The sequence below is a fragment of the Homo sapiens genome, chromosome 4 (genome assembly GCF_000001405.40).
Source record: "Homo sapiens chromosome 4, GRCh38.p14 Primary Assembly".
NCBI lineage: Eukaryota > Metazoa > Chordata > Mammalia > Primates > Hominidae > Homo > Homo sapiens.
In genome coordinates, this window is record NC_000004.12 from 43,934,735 (window position 1) to 43,946,510 (window position 11,776).

An 11,776-nucleotide genomic window follows, 5' to 3' on the forward strand; every position below is an offset into this window, starting at 1 on the left:
AATATCAGAAGAATTACAGTTGAGAAAAAAATTAGGTTGAGACACATATTAAAGTCATTCTATTCTAAAGCATCTTTATTTCTGCTGGGAGATAGAACAACAGAAAGCTGAGAAATTAGATAATTATGACTTATGATCTACAGTAGGGATTGTTTTGCCTCTTACTCTGAGAAGTGGGTCAAAGCTGATAGGATCATTTGAGTACTGAGAATTTACATATTTGAACATATTGTAGCCTAAGAAGAAAATTTCAAGATACCCAAAATTCTTCTTTGGAGAAACAAATCAACTGTTTCTCCTTGACGATAATAAATTTTGGCTGTTGACCCCAAAATTTAATTTTAAAATTATTGATATCTGTTTTTTCAAAATAATATAAGATAAATGATTTAAAAGTAAGTTGCATAAGAAAGCTGGGGTGAGAAGAAGACTTTCTAATTATTACTCAAATATTAAATGAAATTTTTAAAACTAATACATTTTACTTAAAATATTATTTCACAATAAAAAATATATAAAAAAGTAAAAAGAAAATGACACAACTGTGAGAAAATATTAACAACATAAATCACAAAGGGTTAATATTTCTAATTTACAGAGAACTTTTAAAATTAATAAGATAATGTTCAAAACTTCTATAGCAGTGAATAATATACATAGAAAATTTACAAAAGAGACATAAAAATAGCCATTAAGCATAAGATATAATGTTTGATCTCACTCATAAAGAGAAATGAAAATCAAACTATAGGGAACTATCCCTTCTTATCCATTAGATTGTCAAAAATTAAAGGAAACCTCAATGCACAATGTTGGTACAAAAACAAGCTGTCTCATACATTGCTGGTAGAGACACAAAATAGTCCAACCTCTATGGAGGCAAATTTGACAATATTTAACAAACTTTGTGTTCATTTACCTTTTAACTTAGCAATTTCACTTCTAGGACTTTGCCTTGCAATATACCTCACTAATGCAAAATCCTCCAAGTTCATCATGGAAGCATTATTTGTAGCTGAAAAATACTGGTACTTACCTATATGCTGAAGTATGACAAATCATTGAATAAACTATGATGCATACACACAATAGAGTATAATGCAGCTATAAATAAAAGCTAACCAAGACAGCATTGTAATGATATAAAAATAGACACATAGATTAATAGAACAGAAAAAGCAACCAGCAATAACGCCACATACCTACAACCTACTTATCTTTGACAATGACACCAAAAATTTACACTGGGGAAAGAACACTCTATTTAATAAATAGTGCTAGGAAAATTGGATAACCATATGCAGAATAATGAAACTGAAACATACCTCTCATTCTGTACAAAAATTAAGGTGAATTGATAACTTAAATGTAAGACCCAAAATTATAAAAATCTTAGAAGGTAAAACTCTTCTGGACTTTGGTCTAGGCAAAGAATTTATGACCAAGTCCTCAGAAGCAAATGCAACAGAAATGACAAACAGACAAATTGGACTTAATTAAACTCAAAATCTTCTGCACAGCAAAAGAAACAATCAGCAGAGTAAACACACAACCTACAGAATGGGAAAAAATATTTGCAAACTCTGCATTTGGAAAAAGGGTAACAGCTAGACTCTACAAGCAACTCAACAAGAAAAATAATAACTCCATTAAAAAGTAGGCAAAGACATGAAGAAGGCATACACATGACCAAAAATCATAAGAAAAAATATTCAATATCACTAATCATCAGAGAAATGCAAATTAACACTACAGTGAAATACACTGTGAGATCACCATTTTACGCCAGTCATGGCCGGGCATGGTGGCTCACACCTGTAATCTCAGCACTTTGGGAGGCCAAGACAGGTGCATCACCTGAGGCCAGGAGTTTGAGACCAGCCTGGCCAATTTAATGAAACCCTGTCTGTACTAAAAATACAAAAATTAGCCGGGCATGGTGGCAGGTGCTTGTGTTCACAGCTACTCGGGAAGCTGAGGCGGGAGAATCTCTTGAGTCCTGGAGGCAGAGGTTGCAGTGAGCAGAGATCATGCCATTGCACTCTAGCCTGGGCAACAAGAGTCAAACTCCATCTCAAAAAAAAAAAAAAAAATACACCAGTCAGAATAGCTACTACTACAAAGTGGAAAACCAACAGATGTTGATGGGGATATGGAGAAAAGGCAGTGCTTATACATTGTTGGTAGGAATGTAAATTAGCACCTTTATAAAAAATAGTATGAAGGCTTTTCAAAGAACTAAAAATAGAACTATCATTTGAGCAATCCTACCACTGAGTACATACCCAAAGGGAAATAAATTATAATAGGAAAAAGACACCTGCACTTGTATGTTTATCACAACACTATATACAGTAGAAAATACATGCAATCAACCTAAATGTCCATCAATGGATGACTGAATAAAGAAAATGTGGGATACATATGCATCATGGAATACTATTTGGCCATAAAAAAAAAGATAGAAAGCACGTCTTTTGCAGCAACACAGATGGAACTGGAGGCCGTTATCCCAAGTGAAATAACTCAGAAACAAAGTTAAATACTGCATACTATCACTTATAAGTGGGAGCTAAACAATGGGTACACATAAACATACAGAGTGGAATAATAGACATTGGGGACTTCAAAACGTGGGAAGGGAGTGAAGATTGAAAAATTACCTACTAGTTACAATGTTCACTATTTGGGTAGTGGGTACACTAAAAGCCCACACTTCCCCACTGTGTGATATATACATGTAAGAAATCTGTACTGTACCCACTAAATGTATAAAAATAAAATAAAACAAATTAAAAAAAGAATAAGGAACATATCTAGGAAATCATGTAAAATGACTTACAGGAGATATTATTAAATTTTTAAAAAGCAAAGTCCAAAAGAGCATATTTAATATGCTACCATTTGCATAACAAAGAAAGGGATATAAGAAGACATCAATATATCTGTTAATATTTGCAAAAAGAAGTACAGGAATAATAAGCTAAATGACAATGAAATTGGATGCACACAAGTGATGAGGGAAGTAGGTATGAGAGAGGTGGGAACATCACTGTTCTGAGTATCTTTCTATTTAGATTTTATTTTGGAATCCTAATAAGGTTCTACATGTCCAAACAATAAAATAAGATTAATAAAGATAAGAAAGGGAAAAATAAAACTAAAATAAAGGAAGGCAATTATGTTTCCTAAGGAAAAATAAAGAAAATAAATTTATGAACATAATTCTTAACTGTATACTATATACTGTCTTGGATGATGTGGGGGTATGAGGAACAGACCAGCAAATCTGTTTTTCAGAGGTTTGTTTGCTGGGAATGTAAGTATTTGGAGATAATGTAATCTAAGGAGAATTTCAGGGTCCCCTAAATTATGTCATAAGATTAAACAAACAAACCGTGTGCATGTGTATCTGTGTGTATGTGCACATTCACACAGGCGTGGCATGTATACACATCACAAAAGACTTTGAAATGAGCAAAAATATGTTCTTGGGTGTCTTGTCTAATTCACTCATCAAGGTTATCTCCATATTTATCTTGATCTATTTCACATATCTGTAAGTTGTAGAAAACTGAATGTAATGTGAATAATTCTTGCCCATGGAAATGCAAATTCATGCATTTGTAATATAATTTTGAAAGTCTTTATTACTTGTATATGTCTCTGCTTTTTGAATTCTCTTTTGAACCAACTACAAAGTGTTCTTTGTATTAGTCAGGGTTCTCCAGAGGGACAGAACTAATAGGATTTATGTATATATGAAAGGGAGTTTATTAGGGAGAATTGGCTCACATGATCACAAGGCCAAGTTCCACGATAAGCCATCTGCAAGCTGAGGAAGAAACCAGTAGAGGCTCAGTCGAGTTCAAAAGCCACAGAACCAGGGAAGCCTACAGTGCAGACTTCAGTCTACGCCCGAAGGCCCAAGAGCCCCTGGCAAACCACTGTTGTAAGTCTAAGAGTCCAAAGGCCGAAAAACCTGAAGTTTGATGTCCAAGGGCAGGAGGAGGGGAAGGAAGCATCCAGCACGGGAGAAAGAAGAAAACCAGAAGACTCAGCAATCAAGGTTATCCCTCTTTCTTCTGCCTACTTTAAAATTTATATTTTAACATGCTTTTTTAAAGCTTTTTATTGTGAAATAATTTCAAATTCAAGGGTTGGATCAGGTGCTGTGGTTCACGCCTGTAATCCTAGCATTTTGGGAGGCCAAGGTGGGAGGATCGCTTGAGCCCCAGAGTTCAAGATCAGCCTGGACAACATGGTGAAACCCTGTCTCTACAGAAGGTACAAAAAATCAGCCAGGCATGGTAGAGAATCCCCGTAATCCCAGATACCTGTGTGGTTGAGGTGGGAGGATCACCTGAGCCTGGGGGATCAAGGCTGCAGTGAGCCAAGATTCTGCCTCTATGCTCCAGCTTAGGTGAGAGAATGAGACCCTGTCTCAGAAAAAAAAGGTGGGAGGAGGGGCGTTGGAGGAATAAGAAATATTGATACACTATTTATGTTGATTCATTAATTAATATTGTATGCTATTTGCCTTATTAATTGTTCTCTCTTTATATATAAGATTTTTCCCCAAATCATTTGAGAATATATTCTATTCAATGTGGTCCCCTATCCGTAAATATTTCATTGTATATTTCCTAAGAACAAGGACACTTTGATGACTACAATATAGTTATCCATGTCAATAAATTTAAAATTGCTGCACTACTTTATATCACTCATATAATAATTTTTCAATTGATTTAGTAATGTCTTTTGTATAATCCATGACAGGATCAAATATACTCCATATGATTGTCACAGCTATTTTTTCTCTTTTATTTATAAAATGTTTCCACAGCCTTTCTTTGCCATTAATGACATTGACATTTTTGAATACTTTATATCCTTTAATTAGTTCACTTTTAATTGTGCCTCTTCTCTCATTTTTAGTTGTCCTGTGTTTTGTCATGATTAAATTCAGTGTATGTGTTCCTGGCCAGAATATTACAAAACAAAACTGTGTCTTTCATAGGAGACAAACAGTGTCCATCTAGCCCTTATCTGTGATGTTAATTGTCAAGGTGTTGTCTGATTTTCTCCACGACATAGGTACTGATTTTTCCCTTGACACCACTAAGCAATCTATCTGGAGACAAATACTCTTCTTCTCATCAAAATTTCTCCCTTGGTTTATTATTCATCAATCACTCTTTTTTGAACGAATCTTTAAAGTGAAGGTTATAAAATGATATTTTGCCAATCTTATTTCTCCCTTATTAATGAATTAACACTTGGCATTCTATAATAAAAATGTCTCCCTTATAATCCATTACCTATCTATTTATTCATTTATTATCTATCTATCTACCTAACATCTAATTTATCTGTCATCTGTACTATCTGTTATTAGTATCATAAAATCAAATTTGTCCAATTGTTTATAACTAATTTCTCTACTGAATAACTTTGGTGTTGCATGTGATGCCTTAGATTTGGTGACAGGAGCTTCTGTGTACATGAGATACGTGCCTACCATTTTTTGAGCACTTATATTATTTTTGGTATAACAAAATATCTCAGGCTCATTTTATACTTACCCTGCCGAAGATCTGAAAACGCAATTTCTTCAAAAACCCTGGTTCTTTTTATTCGGGAAGAAGTATTAGAAAACTAGATCTGAGTGCTAGGTTTGCTCATTACTACTGGAAGAATTTGCCTATATGGTAAAAGATACAAGGGAATAAATGTATGTATTATAGATTACTATAGTTTGTGTTTTCCTTCCCATTGTTGATAGCTCATTTTCTGGGCCGTTTTGCTATAGATAAGTATTGTGTTGGCAGCTATATCTAGCTAAGACACTGCCCATATGTTGCTGTTATATTCACAATTCCCTATCTGTATTATTGTTTTAAGACTTTTGGATTTTGGGTATAAGCACATTCCTGATTAAGAAAGAAAATCTTCAAGTTTAAAGTCCCATCATTCATTATACTTTTGCTTTGTTTTATAAAGAAATTTTATATTTTTTCTTCTTAACATTAAATGATAAGAGAGATACTTAAATTGAAGGTTGTATTCCTGTTTGTCTGTAAAGAAAACACAAATACATTATATATACATATATATATATATAAACATATATATGTGTTGTTAATGTCATGCATTAGTGTTATATTTCATTTCAGGCCTACTATTTGTCTCCCAGCATAAATATTGACATCTAGTATCTATTTTTAGGTAACACAAATATTATTTTTTGACTTAATCCATTTGTTACCTCGATATATTGTGTGCTACTGAGGTTTGGGTTATGAATGATTCCGTCATCCAGGTAGCGAGCATAGTACGCAATAGTTAAGTTACAGATTAAGTCCAAAAATAAATATTTGAGTATTAATTTTGGAGTTTTGAAGGTCATACTTCAGTTTCTTCCTTCATTCTTATCTCAAACTCTCTTAAAGTTTTGTACTTTATGAGTCTCAATTTATATTTTATTTCTATTCTTTAAATTCTCATTTTTAGAGTCACCGTCATTACACCAATACTTGATGTATGCAGTTACATCTCAGGTATTTCAGTATAAAATCATTCTTTTATCAGTTGTCTATGGCCATGATAATGCCATATAGCAAACAACCGTAACACCTCAGTGGCATATAAAAATAAATATTTATATTTGCTCCCAAGACTATGGGTTCTCTGGTCAGTTGTTTTTATCTGAGCTGGGTTTAATTTGGCTCATGGATGCAATTGCTGTCAGCTGTGGTTTGACAGATCTTGTTTGGGCTCAGTCCCATGTTCGGGGGCTTTCCTAGGGCTTTTTATTTTTTCAACTTTTATTTCAGATTCAGGAGGTACATGTGCAGATTTGTTGCCTGGGTATATTGTGTCATGCTTAGGTTTGGGTTAGGAAAGATCCCATCACCCAGGTACTGAGTATAGTACCCAATAGTTAGTTTTTCAACCTTTGCCTTCCTGCCTCTCTGCAGACTGTAGTAGTCCCCAGTTTCTATTGTTGCCATCTTTATGTCCATGAGTACCCAACGTTTAGCTTCCACTTATAAGTAAGAACATGTGGCATTTGGTTTTTTGTTCCTGTGTAAATTTGTTTAGGATGATGGCCTCCGGCTGCATCCATGTGACTGCCAAAAACATGATTTCATTCTTTTTTATGGCTGTGTAGTATTTCATGGTGTATATGTACTACATTTTCTTTATCCAGTTTACTATGAATGGGCACCTAGGTTGAATCCATGCCTTCCTATTGTGAATAGTGCCACAATGAACATGTGAGTTCATGTGTCTTTTTGGTAGAATGATTTGTTTTCTTTTGGATATATGCCAGTAATGAGATTCCTGGGTCAAATGGTAGTTCTGTTTTAACTTCTTTGAGAAATCCCCTAACTGCTTTTCACAGTGGCTGAACTAATTTACATTCCTACCAACAGTGTATAGGTATTGCCCTTTCTCTGCAACCCCACCAGCATCTATTCTTTTGTCTTTTTAATAATAACCATTCTGACTGACATGAGAAGGTGTCTCATTGTGGTTTTGATTTGCATTTCTCAAATTATAAGAATCTTAGAAGAAAAGGCAGGAAAAAATATTCTAGACATCAGCCTTGGGAAACTATTTATGACTAAGTCCTCCAAAGCGATTGCAACAAAAACAAAAATTGACAAGTGGGACCTAATTATACATAAAAGCTTCTGCACAGGAAAAGAAAGTATCAACAGAGTAAACAGACAACCTACAGTAAAGGAGAAAATATTCACAAACTATGCAGCTGACGAGGTCTAATATCTAGAATCTATAAAGAACTTAAACAACTGAACAAGCAAAAACCAAATAACCCCATTAAAAATGGGCTCAAGACATGAACAGACACTTCTCAAAAGAAGACATACAAATGGCCAACAAACATGAAAATGCTGGGGATTTTGAGTTGAATTGGTTCTGCTCTCTATGTCTCATCCTGAAGCAGGCTAGCCTAAGGATATTCTAACAGAGAAGGCAGTGGAGAAAGAGAGGATGACAGCATGCCAGCCCTCCTTCTAGTATTATCTAGTACCTACTTGTATCAAGTGGGCTACCATTCCATCAGTCATAGCTATTCACGTGGCTGAGCACAGAGTCAATTTGAGATGGCAACCTCTAAAGGGAGAGGACATAGGAAAGCATGAGAAATCAGTACTATTCGTGAAAATAATTTTTCACAGTCCTAATCATATTTTCCTACAGGATTTTTATTTCTTCTGTTTTACTCAATAGTACCTTTCATATATTAATATTTTGGATATTTGCCGCCTATAAACGTCATGTTGAAATGTAATCTCCAGTGTTGGAGGTGGGGCCTAGGTGGAGGTATTTGGACCATGGGGGCTGATCCCTCATGTATGGCTTAGTGCACTCCTCATGGTAATGAGTTACAAGATCTGATTGTTCAAAAAAGCCTAGCATCTCCTCCTCTCTTTCTTGCTCCTTCTCTCATCATATGACATGCCTGCTCTCCCTTTGCCTTCCACCATGAGTAAAGCCTTCTTGAGGCCTCACCAAAAGTAGATGCTGGTACCATGCTTCTTGTATAGTCTGCAGAATTACCAGCCAAAAAAATCTCTTTTCTTTGTAAATTCCCCAGCCTCAGGCATGTCTTTATAGCAATGCAAAATGGACTAATACAAGCTATTTGCAGGGAAAAAAATAAAATTATTGAAATTGATTCAGTCAATTAACGTATATTCATCAAGCACCTAATAATATGTGCCAGTGTAGAGTGTACATTCTAATGGTGGAACAGGCAAAAAAAAAAAAAAAAAAGGCGTAAATGAGTGAAATATATAGTCAGATACTGTCAGATATTGATAAGTGCTAAAAACATAATTTAAAATGTGATGGGCTTGTTTTCAACATGTGCTCAGGGAAATCCTTATACATAAGAATAAAGAGAGAAACAAGTCATTAATAATATTTGTGTAAATTTCCTTATTTCCTCCTAGGAAGACAGAATAGCACTTTCAAAAACAGAAGCATATTGGTGTCTTACAAATACAGCAAGGATGCCATTGTGGCTATTGTGAATACTCAAATTGGCTAGCGGGAGGGGACATGAAATCACACCAGGTACTATATTTGTAAGACAGAATTTTGACTTTAATTCAGAATGAAATGGTAAAGAATGGGGGAACTTAAGCAAAGGAGTGAAGTGATCAGACTTACCTTTGGAAAGGGTTTTTTTCTAACTGCTGTGCTAAGAACAGACTGTAAAGTAAAATAAAAACTGAGGTTTTACTCACTGTAGACTTTGAAAACAGTAATTTCTTGGACAAGTGAGAGAAAAGCTCTGGTTAAATAGGATTTCAACAGAAGAGGAAAATAAAAATTGGAGAAAATAGTATTGACAACTCTTTTGAGGAATTCTGTGTAAAGAGAACAGTAGGTGAACAGAATGTGGTATCAAGACAGAGCTTTTACTTGTTTGATTTTTAAGACTGGGAAAATTCTAGCATATTTGCATGCCTATGGAAATGATTCACAAAAAATCAAATAAAACATAATGGAATACTGATGCATATTTGAACATGGATTAACCTCAAAAACAGCATGCTGTGAAAGAAGCCAAATGCAAACAGTCCAATTTATGAGAAATATCCAGAAAATACGACTTGTTGGAGACAAAAATAAGATCAGCAATTGACAGGTAATTGGGTTGGGAATAGGGATTAACTGTAAAAGAGCTCATAGAAATTTTTCAAGGGTGATAGAAATGTTCTAAAATTGATTTGCAGTGATGGTAACATAACTATAAATTTACTAAAAACAGTCAACTATACACTTATCATAAATAAATTTTATTTCAATAAATCATTAAAAAACAAACAAACAAACAACAGCCAGGATTTCTTTGTGTCATACGCTACCAAAAGAACCCTAATAAAGACACCTCTTTTCTGTTGATCCTGTATAACTTAGTCTGCAGATGGGAGATGAGAGTTTCAAATTTGGGATCAGAGTTGTTTTTCTATTTGCCAAGCTCAGTGTGCTGTTCTTATATTTTAACCTTAACTTTTTAAAAAAAAATCCTGATTCAACAGGAATAAAAGAAAATGCCACGTTCTAACAACTAAATATTGGAAGAGTTGCTTAAAAACTGTTTCTTGTGTTCAAAAACTACCCTTCAATTACTCCTCATAAGATTGCAACATTAAGAAAAGCAAGATAATAAACTAGAAGCTGGTGGTGGGTATGTATGTACTGTGAGCAGGAGTCTTCCTCTTCCTACTGCCTCAAGGAAAACTTGTTCACCCACTGCCACAGTTACCTTTCCTGTGCATTGAACACAGGTAATACTAAAACCAGCAAGGAGATAACAGAAGAATATGTGGGAGTACCTGCAACACAGCAAAACCTTTGTTATGTTCTGCTCAAATTAAATAGCATCACACTTTATTATGACTCTAGCCAAATTAACCAAAAACCTGGTTTCTACAATCTTGAGTCCTGTTTTTCTGACATCATTGAAACTTTTCTAACATTTGCTTAAAAATTTAGGATATCAAATTATAAAGTTTAATAGTTATAAAAACAAATATAAATACTTTTAGAAACGATTTTAGAGAAATGCAGTACAAAATCCTACAGATCTGTAATACATGAATCCTGTAGTTTGCTGATCATAGAATGAGAACATGGACTTTGTTGTACGTATTTACTCTACATTTATTCAAAGGTTGAAAGGAACATTCAGTGTATATTCATGGAAACAGAATGCTTTCACTAGTCCGAAATTCTCCCTTGACTTCACAGATGATAGTTTTTCAACCCTGTATTATTTTGCATATTTTCATATTTATTGGCACTGTGCTAGAGGGCTGAGTAGGACTGGAATATTGGACCAGTGAAGGGACATTGGAAGAGATGCATCTGCTCAGAGTTCTCTAATTAATTTCATTCACCTGCCAAGAATTCTCATGAATAATAGCAGTAGTAGTGGCACCAATAATGATAATAAATCCCTGAAGATGGATTCACACATGTGAATTGCTTGAAGCTGCTGTTTGCTTTGTATGTTCTATGGATTCAAGAGTATTCAGAGCTCTGGAGGCTTCTTAGAGTTATACATCAGAGTTTGATATGAGTTAGGACATTCAGACTCCAGAAGACTGGAAGGCACATGGTGAATATGGGTCTTATAAGAAGATATTCTTACAAGAAAGGGGTCCTGAACCAGACCCCAAGAGAGTCTGGATCTCACACAAGAAAGAATTCAGGGCGAGTCCTTAGAATAAAGTGAAAGCAAGTTTATTAAGAAAGCAAAGGTATACAAGCATGGCTACTCCATAGACAGAGCAGCCCTGAGGGCTGCTGGTTGCCATTTTTATGTTTTTTTCTTGATTATGTGCTAAGCAAGGGGTGGATTATTCATGCCTCCCCTTTTTAGACCTGAATGTTGCTATGGCACTTATAAACTGTCATGCTGCTGGTGAGGGTGTAGTAGTGAGGATAACCAGAAGTCACTCTCTTTGCCATCTTGGTTTTGATGGGTTTTGGCCCACTTTTTTATTGCAAACAGTTTTATCAGCAAGGTCTTTATGACCTGTATCTTGCACTGCCAACCTCCTATCTCATCCTGTGTCTTAGAATGCCTTAAACAACTGGGAATGCAGCCCAGTAGGTCTTAGCCTCATTTTACCCAGCTCCTATTCAAGATGGAGTTGCTTTGTTTCAAATGCCTCTGACAATGTGAGTGGAAAATTAGAATGAAATAAAAACATTTCTTGGGAAT